Raw genomic sequence first — 21050 nt, forward strand, 5'->3', positions numbered from 1 at the left:
GAAACTACAGAGGCAGAAAACAGATCTGTCGCTAGCTATGGGGAAGGTGTTGGCTACAAAAAGCCACAGGATATTTGAGTCCTGATAAAAGTTCTATGTGATGATTATGGTGGTGATAATACAACTGTGTATGTTTCTGAAAACTTGCAGAACTTTAAGCCAGAAAGAGTATTTTACTTTATGTAAATTTTACCTTAGTGAAAAAAAAGGCTGTGGACATTTACCCCATAAACAGCTATGATAACTGATTATCATTCAAAAATAATCTAGGGGTTAATTCTAAGTCTGCACCTTATCTGACCTTTCAGCAGCATTTGGCAAAGTTGACCACTTCCCTCCTTTCATGAATTACCTTTTAATTTTTTTAATTTTTTGTTTCATGCATAACACACTTTTCATGTTGGCATTCGACCTTTACTGACTGCTCCTCACAATCTCATTTCCTGACCCTTCCTCCTATTCTTTACCTCTAAATGCCGGAATGCCTTGGCTCTTTTAGGCAGGGTGGCCAGACCAGGCTTCTTTCAGGAGGGGAAAGTTGAACAGAAATCTAAACAAAGAGGAAACACAACGTTTCCTCTTAGGACTGGTGAGATAATTTGTGGGGTCTAGCGCAAAATGAAAATATAGGGCCCCCAGTTCAAAACTTATGAATAATTCCAAGATGGCAACAGGACAGCGTTAATCCAGGGGGCCCCTCTGAGTGCAGGACCCTGTGGGACTGTGCAGGTCACACACCGGATGCCATTGAAGCTGGTCCTGTTGCTGCTTCTCAGCACGTCCACTCCTAAGGCCCATGTCAAAGCTGAGCTGTCTCTCACAGGACAATCTCAGTGACTTTGCAGCTGGACTTCTTGCTTCTGTTCTTTTTCCCTTTTAGGAAATTATCCACATAGAAGCCAGAGTAATCTTTTTAAAATATCATTGTGCTCCTCTGCTCAAAACTTTTCAGTGACTTTCCATCACTTTCCTATAAAATCCCAAGGCTGGCTAAGGCTACCACCCCTCCAGATCTGGCCCCACCTGATTTTATGACCTTGTCTGTTACCACCCTCCCTTTCCATCACTTGCTCAAGCCACTCTGGCCACCGTGTTCCTCTTTAAGTCAGTCCAGTGCCTTTCCACCTCATGGCCTTTACACTTGCTAGCCCATTACTGTAGAACACGGCTTTCTCAGTTCTTTGTGAGATATATTCTCTTTGTTTTCAAATTTCTGTTCAACTCTCATATCCTGAAGGAGGTCTTCTGTGTCCACCCTGTCTAAAAGAGTTGTCCCTCTCCTACCTGCAACACCTCCTGCCAAGTCTCTTTATGTTCTCTTTCCCTGAATAACATGTTTTTCATAGAACTCATCTGGAATTCTCTCGTACACTACTTTATTATCCATTTTCCCTGCAGACCTGTAACCCCCATGAGAACAGAGGCTTAATCTGGTTTCTTGCTGTATATCTGGTGCATAAGATGTGCCTAACACATATTAGACTCTCAGTACACACACACACACACACACACACTCTTCTCCTCTTTGCTTTGGTACTTGCATTTCTCCTCTTTTCTTTGCTACTTGCTATAAAATTATCCCTGCTCCTTCACTCTTCCATAAGTAAATCAATAGTAGGCTGAACCATATGAAATGGTGACATTGTGAATACGTGATCATTTTGGAACTACAAAATGGCAGTTTCATATGGTTCAAATTAATAATATTGTATAAAAACAAAAACACATGAATGTGGCAATGACACACTGATTAAGATAACAAAGGTATTTGATAGGAAAGGTCAAACATCATGATCAGAATATTGTTCCATATAAATAAAACCTGGAGCCGCCACTGTGATGCCTCTACCTTCCTGTGAAAGTTACGAAGCCGGTAGAGAGTGACAGGATGTCTGCTTCCTGAATGATAAGAAGAAACGAATGGATTTCACACTGACAGCTTGTTAATCCACTACTTGGCAACCACAACATTGGAGACCAATCCTCAGTTTCAAAAATCCGCATTCTCTCTTGAAGTCTTATTTAAGTAATATCTGTGCAATCGATGAATGAAGCCAAACCAGAGACATGTATAAAAATCATAATGGTATTCACTGACAGATATTAGCTCTTTCTTTGCTAATCCAGAGAAAGGATTTTTTTTCATTTTTCTTTCCAGCACACCAGCTATTATTAAATTTAAGAAGTGCCAAAAACTAATCCTTTTTTTTTCCTATTTCTAACAACTGAAACATATAATCCCATGGTATTTGCACATTATACTTAATTGCAAATGGTTATCAACAGCATAAATCTCACATTAGTATGCTAGCTTCAGTGAGATTTGTTTGTACTTCCCACCTTTAATACTACGGATGGTTTAATACTGAATAATCTTTATATTTCAATACTTTCAGCTGCTTTTTACCTTTTTAGGTTTTCTTATCCAAAGTTTTCCCTGCAGCTTTGTAAGCATAATAAATCTATCGGCCTCCAAAGCCCACCTGACTTGAGACGTGATGGAGTTGGTAGGTTCACCAATTGAGTATAAGACTAAAGATTTCTTTCCTTATTCCTTTTCCAACTTTCTCCCATTGACTAATGTAATTTATATGCATGTGTATTCTGTGAGCATATTCAAACCTGAAATTTATGCTTTTGAAAAAATATAGCAATGATCAGGTTTACCTCTCTGATAACTAAATATATACTCATAATCATCAAACATTGCTAGCTCAATCTGTGCTACGCATATTCCTCCTATTAGGAAGACGTGCAGATGTTTTTGGTTATTAATCAGATACTAGATAAACAAAAAATTATTAGGAGATAGAAAATCAATTAAGTGAAAAGGAGAGTGACATCTATGCCTATGAAAGCAAGTCAGAGTTTCCTTATATGAACATAATAAATACCTAAAATTTTATCTCAACAGTTCTTTTTACCAGTTTTGAAAAAAATCCCAGCAAAATAAGTATATTGCTTAAAAATTTCATTATAAAGACACTGATAAAGGCTTACAAAAATTAAGTATACAGCATATTTTCAAATTAATCTTAACTTATATTAATCTGTTTATGTTTTTATAGAGCATTTTTCTAAGATAGTATGTGTATTAGAGAGAGAGAGAGAGAGAGAGAGTGTGTGTGTGTGTGTGTGTGTGTGTGTGTGTGTATAGTATGTGCTTCAGTAAGAAAAGACAGATGCAAATGTTAGTAGTGTGGTCCAAAACAACAATGTCCAATAATAAGGGATAATTAAGATGACTATTTTTGTTGGGGAAAAAATAATGCAGACATGGTCATCTTACTTGTTATTTATTATTAGATACTGAAGAATGTTTGACTAAACTTGCAAATGAGGGTACTTTGATGGAGTAGACATTTCAACTCACGTTCTTTTTTTTTTTTTTTTTTTGAGACGGAGTCTCGCTCTGTCGCCCAGGCTGGAGTGCAGTGGCGTGATCTCGGCTCACTGCAAGCTCCGCCTCCCTGGTTCACGCCATTCTCCTGCCTCAGCCTCCCGAGTAGCTGGGACTACAGGCGCCTGCCACCACACCCAGCTAATTTTTTTTTTTTGTATTTTTAGTAGAGACAGGGTTTCACCATGTTAGCCAGTATGGTCTCGATCTCCTGACCTCATGATCCTCCTGTCTCAGCCTCCCAAAGTGCTCGGATTACAGGCGTGAGCCACCGCGCCCAGCCTCAACTCACATTTTTAAAAATCTTTTCAAACTACATTGCTTTTGTTGAATAAAGATGTTCAAAACATGTAGGATGGCTTAGTAAAATAGACGTTAATAGAAATGGTCATAAAAGAAAGGTATAAAAAATACACTGCTTTTTTAGCAACCACATAGATCTTTAGCGGATATTTAATTCGTATTTTGGGATAATCTTTACATGAAACAATGATACTCTTTCACAATCTCCACGTCTAATTATAGTACACCTACTTAGATTTTGAATTTGGCAAATATGTCATATTTTGTTGTAAAGCATGCCTTCCTCGATTCTTTTATTTGCTAAGGGTTGGTTCTACTTTTAACAGTAGTTCCCAAGGCTGACTGCATATTAACATCACCCGAGAAGCGTTTACACAAAACGAATGTTTGCACTCCTACACAGAGCTATTGATTCAGAATATCTGAGGGGTGAAACATGGGAATTAGCATTTGAATTAATAATACACACTTTAACTGAAGTAGAATATGCATACAGAAGAATGCAGCCATCTTACATGTGCAGTTTAAGGAATTGTCACAAAGTGAACACACCTGTGTAATCACCACTCAGATTAATAGTATATCACCAGCACGCTAGGAATCCCATTCATTTCCTTTTGCAAATAGCCATTAGTACCTTTGAAAAGTCCCTCAGGGGTTTCTAACATATAGTTAACAATGAGAACCACCGTATTACATGCTAATTGTCTTGTATACCAATCTCTCTATTTTGATGGAGTTGTGAAGAAGAGGAAATAAATCAAACACATACTCTGTGTTGGTGGTTCCACAAGCATTATCTTATTTTATCTTTAAAACAACCATTTAGAATAGTTAGCATTACATCCCTTCAGATAAATGAGGAAGCAGAGGCTGAAAGAAATGACTAATTTGTGAAAGTGGTACCATTGAAATGAGAACACTGGAATGCAAATCCAGGCCAGCTTAGTGGTTAAAAGATCAAAGTGGATCAGGCTGACTTAGGTTTGAATACCAGCTCCACCACTTCCTAAATGTGGGACTTCGCGTCGATGGATTCAGTTTTATTATTAATGAAATGGAGATCATAATGCATTCTAACTCATCTAATTGCCATAAGGATTACATGTAAAGGACTTCAGTGCCTTATAACTATTATTATGGCTAGCATTAGTCTTTTATCTTATATCTGATTCCAGACTTAACTTTTCCCACTGCCTCAAATGGCTTCTTGTAAAAAGCCAAAGTGAAGAAGCCCCGTTTGCAACTTCTTGCCATATCTCTTGGTAATTGGTTGACTTAATTTCTTTGAGGACCATCAGAAGATTGAGTCATATGGAATGGGAGCCAGAGAAAAAGATGATCACAATGTATACACTAATAAAACTAATGTGTCTCCAAATTGCAAAAACACAGGAAAAATGGAATACCTATTATGCCCTTGCCAGATTAACAATTAGGTCCACTGATTTAAATTTAGAAGGACATCATTTGAAGAGATGTCCAGGTATTAAAGAAAAGTATGTTAAAATATTAATTATAAATGAAACTTATCATGCTGCTTTATAAGTTTACATTTCTCTCCTTTAATGGAATGTAGATAGAAATATAAAAATATATGTGAGTGTATATGTATATGTATATACACATATCTTCATAAATAGGTAAACTTATAAATAGGTAAGGGAACCAGGTTAATTAAAATAAATCAAGGGGATTGCCTCTCCTTGTCCCTTGAGACTGAGCTAACCAGTCTACAGGAGCTTTAAAAAGTCAAGTGATACTTAGGTGAGGAAAATAACATTATGTCACTGTTGTCCTTTCAGGTTAGCAAACAAAAGCTGGATACCGCAAATTACATAAGTTTCAGCCAGATATCTTTGCCTGACTAAATTACAATGTTAGGGAATTTCCACTACAGTCCTGGGATGTGCCCTGCCAATACCCTGCTTCCTAATTAGACCTGTTACCTCACTTGACCTACTCTTCCTGCTACTCATATAATTCTATTTAAAAAAAAAAGAAGAAAAAGAAAAGAAATAAATGAGAGTGATTAATGATCTCGTTGGACATGTATTTACCCTTCTACTTTGCAATGTGGGGAGGCAAAGATTAACAGCCTCCTTTAAGATTTCTCCAGCTAGATCAGTCTTGTGCTCTAGGAATTTCATAATTAAAACAATATATTTGTGGAAAGAGCTGTGACTAAGAATCAGCAGAGCTGTTTCACACCTGACTCTGACAGTTAAGTCTGTCAGGTCCTCTGGGTTTCGGCTGCCTCATGTGTAACAATGTTTCTGTTACCTCAGTTTCTCTGTGTGATTTGACTTTGGAAGGTTGAGGACAATATCTAAGAGATGCCACAGGGTTTTGTTCTGTTTATTTGCGGTGGTGTTTGCTTGTCTGTCTTTAAAGCTTTAGGTTTATGTCTATGTTAAAACTGGAATTTCCCAAACAAGCAAGGCAGAGAATGGCCAAATAATCACAAACTCATTGTAATCTTATGGTATCAGTACATCTTAAGGATATCCACTCACATACAGCTATTAGCAAGTTTCAATTCTGATTAAATTCCTCTTAATAGTTGAATGTAGTCAACTTTTTGTGTCTCAATTTTTTATTATTTTAATCTAATAGATTAAATCCTAGAAAACTTTGTTTTAAAATCAAGTATTTACTCTTAAATATGTTTTAATATTTATTAAATATAAAGTCTCACACAGAGCAATTGACTTTATTGAACAGACGTTTACAAGACTAATGGAAACTTCCTATTTGAATTATTCTATGAGATTGTCAGAATAGAATCAAATTGTACTAAACATTAAAATATTCCTCTTTCAAAACCTATGTAATTTTATCTTATCAGTCTATGCCTCAAGGATGTGATGAAGATATAGGGAATCAGAATGGAGGTATGAAAGTTGTGTGGAAAGGATACAGTGGTTTTCAAAATGTAAGGTATTAGTATGTAGTTGCTGCTATTTGAGAAGGATAATTTGACTGATTTCATATAAAATGTACGATAGTAGATGAATGAAGGTTTTAGCGTAATAATAAAGGTTTTAATCGTTTTTAATAAACATAGTTTATTATAGTAACCCTGTTAGGCATATTTTGGACATATTTTAGGATTTAGCCTTGCTTTGCTTTGGTACACTTCAAATACTAAGGTGTCTATCCTCATGTTGAATAAAGGCCAAGTGAATGGTGAGCCATTGGAAAAGCAGATGATTACGCTATTCTTTAGAAGTAGGAAATCTGGCATCAGCTGTCTAAATCGGTGTTTCGCAGAGTTAATTTCATATCACATTAATTCAAACAGGTTTTCTCAACTGTGGTACTCTTGATATTTTTGGCTGGGTAATTCTTGGTTGTATAGGGCCTGTCCTGTGCATTGTAGGATGTTTAGCATCCTGCTACTAGAGGTCAATAACACCTACCCATTTGTGGCAAGAAACAAAGGCATCCAGACATTGCCAAGTGCCCCCTGGAGAAAAAATTACCTTCAGTTAAGAATTACTTTTCTAATGTTTTATCCCCACTAAATGATTTTATGATGAAATTTATATGACAAATTCAGCAATAATATGACTCTCTCTTAAAGATTCACATTTAATATTGGCATGTTAAAGATTCTGAGAATCTTATTGCAAGGACACCGATTTACTCTTGTCTAATTTAACATTTCCCAAATATTTTGATGACAGGATTATCTATATCTTAGTAATAGCCATTTCAGATTTCTATACCATGTTACAAAACACACTGGAAAATTCTGGTGAAATTGAATATCTACACAAGCATTTGATTTACTTATAAGAAACGAGAGTTCTTATTAAATGTCTGACTTATTTCTGTATTTTTTTTTTCTTTAGAAGTAGTTTCACTCTTGTCGCCCAGGCTGGAGTGCAATGCTGCAGTCTCAGCTCACTGCAACCTCCGCCTCCTGGGTTCAAGCGATTCTCCTGCCTCAGCCTCCCAAGTAGCTGGGATTAGAGGTGCCCGTCACCCCACCCAGCTAATTTTCTGTTTTTAGTAAAGACGGGATTTCACCATGGTGGTCAGGCTGGTCTTGAACTCCTGACCTCAGGTGATCCAGCCACCTCAGCCTCCCAAAGAGCTGGGATTACAGGCGTGAGCCACCATGCCCGGACTATCTTTAAGTTCTAAAAAATAATTTAACTAATAATAGACACAACATCAACCATAGTAAGCTAATGAAATTGCCTTTTAGCTCATAACATAGTAGTTTACCAAATTACATGGCAGAGATTCATCATTCCCTTTTTGAGAGAAAAGTATTAGTAGTATTCTCACTTTTATGAGTCAAATAAATAGAGTAGAAAGCAGAAATCCAAATCATATTCTCAGGAGTCCACACTTTTGGTTGCCTGCTCACCTGTCATAGTATATCTTTTGGAAGTAGCCATCTCAGCATACTGTCGCAGGTACCAGCCATGCAATTAGGATGGGATCACATTCCCCTGCTGCATCTCCAGGGGCAATTGGCCTCATCCACTCAGCTCAAACCAATTCCATATTCACAATGACTGGCTCAGTGACAAACACTTAACCCAGGCCTAAACTGCTCAGTGCTTGGCATTTGGATAACTCTTTCCGGACTGCCCACTTGACCTAAGTTGGTCTGGTCAGATAGAGGCCTAGGACTTCAGTGCCATAGTTGGGGAAAGAAAAGCCCCTTGGTCAGGTCAAGCAAGTGGTCGGATGAGCAGATAGTTAGGTTAGCAGATAAGAGGCCTGTGACTGCTGCAACCTTTTGCTGCCAAATGGAAAAGTCACCTTCATGGGAAGCCAAAACATGGAAGAGGATGGAACCAGAGAATTCCAGAGTGAGAGATGTAGCATCCCAATCGAAATGCCTAAAGCCAGATCATTTTCAGTCGTCCAATAGCTCCTTTATTGTTTTGCCCACTTTGTGTTTAGGTTTCTGTCAATTACAGTGGAAACCATTCTTATCAATACACCCGAAAAGGAAATAGTAATAAATGCCATGTCATTTCAGAAATTAGTTATCACAATAGAAAACAAAATACTTGATTTAAAATTATTTTGCAAATTTCAAACCACATTATATTATTATTATTATGCCTAACTTACATCTTCCTAAGCTAGGTCACTGTTAATCACAAACTTCAAAATAGAAGAAAAAAATCAGGTAATATGGTTAGACACAATTAGTAAGGTAACTCCAAAGGAACGCCACAGACAACTTGCTATCTACTTGTCTAGCCATAGGTACTAGCTAGAAGTAAAAAAAACAAATATCTGGAGAGAATGGCCTAGGTGTAGCTTCCTAAGGAGAGAATAGTCAGGGTGAAAAAAGAACTTAGTATGTAACATGATAAAATGTTAACAAAAATAAGCTCTCAGTTGCCTTATTTTTGATAAATAAATGAATGATTCTGTTTAATTATTTAATTTATTGTGGAGAAGTTGGAACGAAGGAAATGATTAAAATCAGTCCAAATATTTGTCTAGTTTTTCCATGGATTCTTGCAAGCTTGTTTCTCCTTTTGATTCCATATCTAAGTTCTAGTTCTTGCAAGAGACACCTTTCTATACTATTCCTGCAGCTAATTATTATAATGCAACTCACTTTCGTCTTCTGAAGTCCAGACACGTTGAAAGTATTGGATAACAAAAGATACTTCTTTAAAGACTGTCACGTGATGGTGCCATTCTAAGAGGTGCCCAAGTTGTCACTGACTAACTCCAAAGGTGAGTTACTAACCCGTGCCTTGGAGGAGCTATGAAAGAATAGTTACTAGAAGCTACAAAAGACAAGAAAAGTGGGTTCTGAATAATTCTGAACATATCTTTAATGTCTTAGGAAGAAGCTTTTGTTTACAAGGGGAAAAAACCCCAAGTAAACAGGATCTAGTGACATGGCCACCTTCGATTAGAGTCTCTAAGAGAAAGGCCTTCCTAGACTCATAATACTCCTAGAGACCTCAACAGCAATACTTTGGGGGTCTTCATTGTACAGTCGGCTGTGTATGATGTGATTCAAATATTCCCCCAGGCCTGCTTTTAATGTCCAACGAAAAAAATAGTTTCCTTACTTTGTACTTAATTTTTTTTTTCTACCTAATGGCTCTGCTTACTCATAGTTTCTGTTACCTCATAACTTTGGCAAAGCCCATCATCATGTTTCCAGGCTGATTTCTACAACATTTAACTTTGGTTCCTCCTGCTAAATGACTCAGGCTCTTAGAATTTCCTAGTTCTGATTTTCAAGAGAATCTCACTTGCTGAGCTCATCTTTTGTAAGCCAGGCCATATCACAGTTTTCTCATCAGCTTTTGGATTGGCTGCCTTTGAGTCCAGTGTCTCATTCTTGGCCTAGGTGGGAATCACTAAGGAGGTGGAAACCTGTGCACTAAAATTATTATGAAGCAGTTTTTCCTGGTAAGGAACGTAGCCATGGTGAACAAGGTATGAAACATATCTAATAGAGCTTAACTCTTGCTAATTAGTAAAGCAAACTCCCTACATCCCATTCATCCAATTCAAAAGTTGTCCCCATCTGACACATTCCATCTATCACATGCATTGTAAATACATTGATACCTTAAGAATAGGATGCTTTTGTGTCAACTCCATCTAGTGCCTCCAGAAGAAATGACAAAAGGCCACATCAAAGACTATTTAATGATATTGGAATCCACTGGGCAATGGTCAAGACTATTGGTCTGGCGGTGGCTCACACCTGTAATCCCAGCACTTTGGGAGGCTGACGCGGGCAGATCACGAGGTCAGGAGATCAAGACCATCCTGGCTAACACGGTGAAACCCCGTCTCTACTAAAAAAAAAAATACAAAAAAATTAGCCGGGCGTAGTGGCGGGCGCCTGTAGTCCCAACTACTCGGGAGACTGAGGCAGAAGAATGGCGTGAACCAGGGAGGCGGAGATTGCAGTGAGCTGAGATCGTGCCACTGCACTCCAGCCTGGGCTACAGACCGAGACTCCGTCTCAAAAAAAAAACAAAAAAAACAAAAAAAACAAAAAAAAACCCAAAAAACTATTGGTCTGAAGCTAGGCTGTCTGGCTATGAAAGTTGGCTCCAATATATAATATCAGGGAAATTACCTTAACTTCTTTATTCCTCGGTCTCCTAGTCTGTAAAATGGGTATGTTCCTCAACTACCTTTTTTAGATTTTTGAGAGGATTAAGTGAATCTATGTATCTAAAGTGCTTAGAAGAATATTTGTCACATAGAAAACTAGCTGTTATTTTAAATAGTACCATTAAAGTATATTGGGTTTTTATTTATCTCCTCTTTGCAATCTGTAAAGTAAACAAACATTGCTAAACAATTGATATACAATAGTGGGAAATAACTAGAACTGTTATAACAACCAACTTTTGCAAAAGGGAAAAATGGGACACAAACCTTTATTTCTGTACCTGATGCCATGTACCATTCACTTGCTCTTGTCCTAAACATATATTTCATTTTCTGGAATAGTTCATTACCTTGTAACATATGGTTCTCATGGCTGGTACTAAAATGTCATTTATTTTGAGATGGTAGGATATTTAAGGGGATGAGTAATTTTAAGAGGATTAACTTGCCGCCTAACATTTTTTTTTTTACAGTGAAGAAAGTCATGATGCTCCCCTTCTCCAGAAAGCACAGAATATAACTTTATTAGCTGCAACATATAGCATGAAATATCAGAATTTCATTCCAGAAGCAAAGCCATTATAATGGCCTAAGTAATTCCAATTACCCCACCATTTCCACTAGCTTAAGCCCAATTCCTGGTACAAATTTGTTTTACTTGAAGTCTTTTTGTTTACTTAAATGTTTACCCAAAGTCTTTTTATAATTAAAAAGATTCTAACTCAAGTGGCCTTAATAAAAAGAGAGCTTCTCTTAAGAATATATGTGATCCAAATCTGGAATAAGAGTGTTGATGGGAATCAAAGAAGGTCTAGGAGCCAGTTCTTATCCATATCTCTCAGAGTAAATGAGACTCTGTATCTTAATGTCTTTTTTCCCTGAGTTTCTATATATTTTAGCTTTAGTTTGCCATATTCTCCACCTTAAAGCCCCTACACGACTTCATAGCTTCTCTCTCTGTGCCTCTTTTGACCTTCAGCAATGACTACTAATGGCTTGATTTTCTCTGTACTTCTCAATTAAAATCCCGGAGAAAGTGAGTGGTACCGGCCTAGCTTATTTTATTATAATTTCTTTACAGCTAGTACATTGACTACTGTTGGTCAATATCCATTTCTGCCTAATTTTTTGTATTTATTATTTTGTGCAAGCTATGTCTTCAGGGGTGGTGAGTAGGGATATTTCACTTAGAAGCTTATGCATGGGCAGAAAGTGTTTTTTGTTGTTATTGTTGTTGTTTTTTGAGACGGACTCTTCCTCTCGTTGCCCAGGCTGGAGTGCAATGGCGTGATCTGGGCTCACTGCAACCTCTGCCTCCCGGGTTCAAACGATTCTCCTGCCTCGGCCTCCCAAGTAGCTGGAACTACAGGCACCTGCCACCATGCCTGGCTAATTTTTTGTATTTTTAGTAGAGATGGGGTTTCACCATGTTGGCCAGGCTGCTCTTGAACTCCTGACCTCAGGTGATCCACCCACCTCAGCCTCCCAAAGTGTTAGGATTACAGGCTTGAGCCACCACGCCCAGTCAAAAGTGTTTTGAATAATAGGCTAATATAATAGCCTAAGAGAAAAGCACATTTTATTCCTCAGGGCATGATACTGACCAACAGATTTGGAGGACCATAAAGAAAACTTCATTTTCAGTGATGTCAATTTGGTAGCTTGAAATCACCCCAGTGGAAATATCTTCTCCTTGGGAAACCAGCAAACTCAACAAATCGGGGCTTCCCCACTCTGTGCCCCACCCTCACTCTTTCACTCTATAGCTGGTTCATCCACACACTACTGCCTCTTACCTTTCAATGACCTTGGCCATGCACCAATACCTGAGTCTATTGCTGTGATGGGAGAGTGGATTAAACAGGTTGCACAGGCCTGAGTAGCTCATTCATTACAGCTTTCCAATACAGCTTTTTCCATACATTTATTACATATGAGACAAATCAGAATGTACAAGCTTTTTAAATTCTTCTCTAGACTGTTAATTCTTACAAAATAAGAATGGCACTCTGAATTTTATTACCGTTATTGAATATAATTCAGCGTTAATAATAAATAGAGCACTCAATCTTATAATTATTTAGAAATTACCCCAAATGCTCCAAAATTAGGTTGTGTGTTTGTGTCTGTGTGCATATTTAACTAAAAAGCAAATATGATAGCATTCAGCAGTTGTAGCTTATTCATATCTGTACAATAAGGCCCTGTTGGTTTGCCCCAAATCATGTGAGCTCCTTTAAAAACACTCTTGTTAAAGTGAGCATAATATGGAGAGACTCAGCAACACTCGCTTATACATCTCTTACAGATACCTGTGTAATCATCAGAAGGTCAGCCTGACCATAGAAATCATTCCTCCTTAGTAGAATAAAGCCTAAATTTAAATGATACAAAACCTTGACATTTTTTATTTGTCCTAGCTGATGCTAAATGTTGACAAGATTCACAGAAGTTCCAAGGCTTCATATGTGATACAATCATTTGATTTCTCCTACTTTATGTTTTAATGAAGCATTTACAGTACATAAAGAAAACAGTTGGCTTTGTCTTAGATTTGCCCCTCATCCAGGGGATTTTTATTTCTAATATATTCCACGTCTTTGGACTCTCCTTCACCAGAAATAAGAATTTGTCCTTTTGAGGTATGGCAGCATCAGAGACAGATGGAAATAAAGATGCAGAAAAAAAACTTGGTTTTGTTCTACACACCTGACCCTCAACTGTACCCAAACAAGACTTGGATTTCCCTACTCCATTTTTGTATCGTATGTCTCAATAAAAGTGGTAAATATGAAAATAAAGATAGCCCCGGTGAATTAAAGACATTACCTAATCATCCAATGCCAATCCTTCCTCTTTGACTACGTATCAAGACTACTTTATAGGAAAAGTGATGAAGATATCCAGCATAATTATTAATAAAAATACATCCACACTAAAGAGATTGAAGATCAGAAAATTAAAGGTGCACCCACTCAGGCTGTATTGAGAACAGCTGGCATGGGAATACAGTCACAGTGACCTTGTCACTCTCTCTGCTGAATTGACTTCGGTATCATTCTTTTCATCCCCATATAGGAAGGAGAAAGCCACCTCCTGCGGATGTGCAGACTTACATGAGGTCTCCCTCCCTTGCTCAAAAGAAAGGTCACGAAAGCTGCATACTGATCACATTCTAAACCTTTTTGCCCAGGCCCCAGTGGAAGCCTGGATTAATGAGCCTGATAAACTCTGATTTACCCTTTAGGATAGCTCGAGAAAAAGACCCCACGGTGATCATTCAAGGTCAATAGGACAGGCCATCACCAAGTAGCAGCTCTCTTAACTTGCTATTGTTCCAAATGCCTTTGAATCACAATAGGCAATGGCAAATGTGCAAACCTTTCTTTCTTTCCCTTTCCTTGGGTGAGAAGGAGACACAGTCAAAGGTCAAAATTTCCAGGATGAAGTGATATGTCAAAGGTTACTAGAATGTTATATTTATCAAAATTGTTATTGATAAAATATTTTTTGTTCATAATCTTATTGTGATGATTTTACATTCAGATGACTCATTTATGTTGCACTGGCATCTCTAATATTTCCTTTTAGTTTTTCAACTTAGGGTGAAAATGGCAATTGGCTATAAAATATTTAAAGCATTTGTGAAAAAAATCCCATTTTGACAGAAATGCAAGCAGTAGATAGATGTACATTGTTTAATATATGACATCTAAATACTCATTGGATTAAGGAATATAAAAATGAGTTATAAATAGTTTAGTTATATTTCTGAATCATCCAGATGGCATAAAAGGATGTTGCTTGAGCTTTGATGAACCTGCAAGCATTTGATCCCCATATAGGAAGGAGAAAATCACCTGTGGAGGTGGAGACTTACATGAGGTCTCCCTCCCTTGCTAAAATCCTTGCTCAAAAGAAAGATCATATAAACTACATACTGATCACACTCTAAACCTTTTTGCCCAGGCCTCAGTGGAAGCATTTCTACCCTCAAGCATTTTATTTCAATTCCAGCATAATTTTCTACATATGTTTCTACCTTGTAGGACCTTAGTCACCTGCAATACAGCCAGTCGGTGGTAGGCCAGATAATGACCCCTAAAGATGTCCATGTGCTAGTCCCCAGAATCTGTGACTCTGTTGCCTTACATGGCAAAGGGGATGCTTTTCCATGTAAGGCAAAGCATCACATGCTGTGATTAAGTTATGGATCTTAAAATGGACAGGGGGTGATCCTGGATTATCAAAATTGGTCGGGGGGGGGCTTGGATTGGGCCCCTGGTGGGCCCAATATAATCAAAAAGGTATTATAAATCTAAAAAGGAAGCAGAAGAGTCAGAGGAGGAAGGGCAGATGTGACAATAGAAGAAAAGTTAGGAGCGATGCCAATGCTGGTTTTCAAGATGGTGCCAAAGAATATGGGCAGCCCCTAGAAGCTGGGAAAGTCAAGACAAGGAATTTCCCTCTGGAGCCTCCAGAAGGAATGCAGCCTTGTCCACACCTTGATTGGAGCCCTGTGAGACCCATTTAGGACTTCTAACCCCCAGAACTGTAAGTTAAAGTATTTGCATTCTTTGAATTCACTGAACTTGTAATAATCTGGTACAATGACAATAGGAAACAAATACATGATCTAATAACTTTATTATATAATTATAAAGAATCTTTGGGGCAATATATATATACTATATATATACACTTATATATACATATATATACACACACATATGTAACCTAATTTAATATCCATTACTAAAATGATTATCAACATATTTCAGTTGATTCAACCTTCCTTTACTTTTCAAAGACTTAGATCACTGTTGGATTTAGTGAAGAACCATGACTAAAATATCAAATTATTTATCTCTTAGTCAACTTAACATAATCCATGTTACCTGCCTTAAAAGTACTTGCAACTGTATTAACCCTTTACAATTACTGATCTAAAATTAAGCTTACTTTATTTAATGTTACTTAGTTTATTGTTGACAATTCAGAAAACAGTATTCTAAATAAGAGATGATGTTGAAATTTTGTTTTATTTTGAGATTAGCTATAAATGCCTTCTACATCTTGGGGATTCTGGGAACTAAAACTAAATAACCCATTCAACTTTGAGGAACTCATACAGTCACCTAACTCTTTAAATGCAATTTACTAAATTATGCAATGGGGTAATGAAAATGATCTAACAAATACACTTGTGTTTTTGTTTTAGGAGAATCTAGTAAGAATGAAATGTTTTATTCTTGAATCAAGTTTAGGAAATTTAAAATATTACCTTTATTTATTTTATTTGTTTATTTATTTATTTTGAGATGGAGTCTAGCTCTGTTGCCCAAGCTGGAGTGCAGTGGCGCGATCTCGGCTCACTGCAACCTCCACCTCCCAGGTTCAATTGATTCTCCTTGCCTCACCCTCTCGAGTAGCTGGGATTACAGATGAGGGCCACCACGCCCGGCTAATTTTTGTATTTTTAGTAGAGACGGGGTTTCACCATTTTGGCCAGGTTGGTCTTGAACTGCGGACCTCAAATGATCCACCTGCTTCTCTGCCTCCCAAAGTGTTGGGATTACAGGCGTGAGCCACAGCACTCAGCCAAATATTACTTTTAAACGTATGATATAGGCACTCAGAAATGTTATCACTCTTAATTATCACTTGCTTACATAAAAAAGAAACTTTGATTTTTATCAGAAGAAATAATACCTTTAATTCTCTTGCATATGTTTAAGAAAATTTTTAACTTCAAACTATATCTGTGCATTGAGAGGTTAACAATAACCTTCCCTGTATCATCAAGGCCAGAAGCAATGATGGAAAGTTCAAGATGAATACTGAATCTGTAAGTGTAAACATTTTTATAGAGATGGGGTGGAAATAAAGCATGCTTTTTCTTGTAGTTTAAGATTTTTCACTGTGAAGTAAGCAAATAATTGCTAAAACTTGGAATCATTACTTGGAAAAATTTAGTATGAGAAACTTCAAGAAGGAAAACAATTGGGTCGCAACCACAGACTATTTGGCTTCACCCCATTTGTTCCCTGAAGGTGCCCTGATGGATGCCAAACTTTCACAATTGTGCAATCTTTACCTTTAGGACTGAAAGTGAGGTCTTAACTGCCTGTATAATCTAGGCAAAATCTGGGCCTAAGTACTAAATACATTTTGATTGTCAAGTTCTCTGAAGTAGCCATTGTAGATCATGCTCAAAAAAATTTGTAATATCTGTTTGTGAGTTTTATTATTGGCAAAGCCTGCCATATCACATTGTTCGTGTGGACATAAGTGAGGAGCTCTGATACTGACCAGGGATTTAGCTTAATATAAGGTGACTGGTTGTTCAATCCTATTGTGCAGCCAATAATAAGTGCCTTCTATCTCACCAAATTTTGTTTCGTAAAGTAAGTAAGTGTGAAGTTAATAAACTATAAAACAGTTACATCTACTACTAAGTGTACACATAATATTTGAAATTCAAACTCTTAGAATAAACAGATATGGAATAAAAAAGAGAGGCAATAAATGTATAAGTTAGAGGATTTTTTGGCTAGACATTTTGATATACATTAAAATTAATTTAACATATATTAAGGAACAGTATAGTTCTAAGTGTTCAAGGAGCAAGGTTTTTTTGTTTCTTTTTGTTGTTGTTGTTGTTGTTTTGTTTTGTTTTCCAATAGGAATAAGTTAAATACTGGCTGAGTGTGGGGACTCATGCTTATAATCCCAACATTTTGGGAGGCTGAGACAGGAGGATTCCTTGAAGCCAGGAATTCAAGACCAGTATGGGCAACAAAGTGAGGCCCATTTCTTAAAAAAAAAAAAGAAAGAAAATAGCCGGGTGTGATGGCACAAAACTGTAGTACTAGCTACTCAGGAGGCTGAGGTGGGAGGATGCGGTGAGCTGTGATCATGCCACTACACTTCATCCTGGGTGATACAGCAAGACCCTGTGTACTCCAGCCTGGGTGACAGAGTAAGACGCTGTCTCAAGAAAAAAAAAAAAAAGCATGAATATATTAAATATTGTACTAAGATTTTCTATACTCAAAGTGCATAATTATCTCAAAGGATCTTTTTACTTCAGGCTACCTGAAGGCAAAATTATAAAGTAAGGAAAGTTTGCATTTAGTATTTCTTTTCCTACTATTTTTCACTTTTAAGAATAAATTTGTGACCCTAGGCCCCAAGCTAACCTGGATGCTCATACAGAGCCTTTTCTTCTTACTCTCAAAATGTTTTTTCTGTGTAAACTGTAGGATTCAGTGCTCTACTCTCTTGATAGTCCTGATTTAAGGGTAAGTGATTGTTTTTCCCTCCTGAGTTCTAGCCACTGTCCTGTTTGTAATGGGCTTATTCACATATTGAGTGATTTCCCCTCACTACCAGCCACGCAAAATGCATGACTCAAAAGTCTCTACCACTTCCATACTTCACAGAGGATCAAAAATGACCTGAAATAAATTATGCAGTCTCAGCTACGTAGACCAGGTTTGAATGTAAAAATGAAAAATGTTCTTTGGGTGGTTATATCTAAATAGCCCTAATGGGTTTCCATACAAGTGAAGTGGGGACTATAACCAAAATTTCATGGGAAATGACACTACTATAAGTAATTCAACTGATGTTACTTTATCCTATAAAACTGAGCTCCAACTGCCCAAGACATCGCAGGTGCAAAATTAATTTTCCTCCAGTTCCCCACCATTCTTGCCTTTACAACTTTTTCTACTGCAGCTAAGGCAGAGCCGTCTCAGGGGATCAAGGCATCATTCTGTCCTTGTTGAATTACATCTTTGAATGTTTTTGAGTTTTCCATTTTTGTGTGTGTGGTTTTGTAAGTTTATTTTTAGAGTTAGTGAGGTTTAGAGACAAGAAAAATATAAGGGTATCTGAGGCTATTTTTAAAGAACTAACACAATTGTATAAAATTATTTTTAAAAGCGGAAATAGGAGTGAGAGGAAGAACAATACAAGTTCTATATAAGTTATGTTTTATACAGTGAGCTTTGTAGCTAGCTGAAATGCTGAGAACTTAACGCAGTATTTGTTTTGTAGCCTTATTAGTCTATACTGCCCTCTAAATTTTCTGTTTGGTTCATCTTCTAAATTCATTTTTACTAATGGAAAATTGATATAGGTTATCTTCTAAATTCATTTTTATTAATGGAAAATTGATAAGAGACCTACATAGAAAAAAAATGACATAGTTCCCAAATTTATGACTGCGGCTTAAGGTGTCCCCATGGAAATCTTGAAGTCATGTTATAAGGGAACAAAAGAGCATTGAACATGAGGTAAGAGACTGGATCTAGAACAATTCCCCTCAGTCATGTAAATTTTGGCAGTGTTAACTCATAAGATGAAGACAAATAAATGAACAACCCCCAAATAACCACCTGAAGTAAATGCACCCCAACTGCCTAAAAATACTCAATGATATATTGCTGCTAATAATACAAAAAGTACAGTTCCTCCTCTGTTGAAGATTATTATGCTCTTTGTCACTATCTGAAGGTATAGATTACCACATCCTTGGCTCCCAATACGCATTAGTGAAGGTGAAGATGTTGACATAAAGGAACGACGATGGATTTGCCCAATGTCACCTAGTAAATTAACCAATGGAGAAAGGAGAGCAAAATACTGCTCCATTTTCAAACTCCATGGCAGAACTCAAACAAACTATACATCCCAACAGATGGAATATGCTTATGTATTCTTAAAACCTAAAATACATGTTTAAAAATAAAGGCCATTCTCTTACTTGTGTGCATTTTTTTAAACATTTTACTCTAAAGTGATTATAGGCATACATATTTTTGCTATTTTTTTTTAAAGAAATCTACAGAATCCAAGTATTTCAAACCTGCCAGGATTCCTTCCTCATTCATGTTGTTTGAGTGAACGATATTTTCCAAAATCCTGTCTGGTGATAAAATCTTATTAGAGAGAATAATAATAAATATACATTACAAATGAAATGTCCTCCGAACCCACACATATAAATACTTCCTTATCAATTTCCTCATAATTAAATAGTTAAGTTTTTGTATTCTATAAGTCATTGTGCTTGGAACTAAAGGTTTATTATTTATTTGTTTTTTTTTGAGATGAAGTTTCACTCTTGTTCCCTGGGCTGGAGTGTGATGGCCTGATCTCGGCTTACTGCAACCTCCGCCGCCTAGGTTCAAGAGATTCTCCTGCCTCAGCCTCCCAAGTAGCCAGGAATACAGGCACCCACCACCACACCCGGCTAATTTTTTATATTTTAAGTAGAGACAGGGTTTCACCATGTTGGCCAGGCTGGTCTCGAACTCCTGACCTTCAGGTGATCCACCCGCCTCAGCCTCCCAAAGTGCTGGGATTACAGGTGTGAGCCACCGTGCCCAGCCGGAACTAAAGTTATAACAAAATAATAGACATGTATTTGTCCCCAAAGTTCTTATAGTTTACTCGGTGAAATGGTATTTATTTATATCTTTAAAATTTTCCTTGCCGAAACACATGGTAACTTCTGGCACTCTCAGTTTCTTATATCGTCCAAATTCTTACTTGTAGAACAAGACACAACTGGCCAGCACAAGTTAAATGCCAAGTAAACAATATAGGAAATAAAGGCAAAACTGTACATTAAAAATAAAGTCACTTCTATAAAATTTCTTTCTTTTTTTTTTTTTTTGAGAGGGAGTATCTCTCTGTCGCCCAGGCTGGAGTGCAGTGGCGCGATCTCGGCTCACTGCAAACTCTGCCTCCTGGGTTCAGGCCATTTTCCTGCCTCAGCCTCCCGAGTAGCTGGGACTACAGGTGCATGCCACCACGCCCGGCTAATTTTTGTATTTTTAGTAGAGACAGGGTTTCACCATGTTGGCCAGAATGGTCTCAATCTCCTGACCTTGTGATCTGCCTGCCTCGGCCTCCCAAAGTGCTAGGATTACAGGTGTGAGCCACCACGCCCAGCCTGATCTCTCTCTCTTTCTTAGTGGGTTTTATGATTTTGCATTTACTTTCTTTTGTGAAATTTAGTTTAGTCATATTTCAAGACATTTTCATTCATTTTGGGATTGAGCTCCATCCTTTTAAATGGAAAGAGGGCTGGGTGGAATATGTAAAAGTGGGTGACCTTTATCCAGTGACGAAATTGAGAGAGAGATTTATGATCTCGAAACATATGTGTCTACATAGATGGCAAATCTCAGCATTTCCAGCC

At 37.3% G+C, this 21050-nt stretch overlaps 1 annotated feature.

Moving 5' to 3' along the window:
* Positions 13818-14420: an enhancer, noted in NCBI's record as "OCT4-NANOG hESC enhancer chr6:22896808-22897410 (GRCh37/hg19 assembly coordinates)". NCBI's record gives its function as "activates a minimal SCP1, AML or CMV promoter by ChIP-STARR-seq in naive H9 embryonic stem cells {active_cell/tissue: H9 hESC(naive)}" and the evidence as "EXISTENCE:reporter gene assay evidence [ECO:0000049][PMID:30033119]".

The sequence above is a fragment of the Homo sapiens genome, chromosome 6, assembly GCF_000001405.40.
Source record: "Homo sapiens chromosome 6, GRCh38.p14 Primary Assembly".
Classification (NCBI taxonomy): domain Eukaryota; kingdom Metazoa; phylum Chordata; class Mammalia; order Primates; family Hominidae; genus Homo; species Homo sapiens.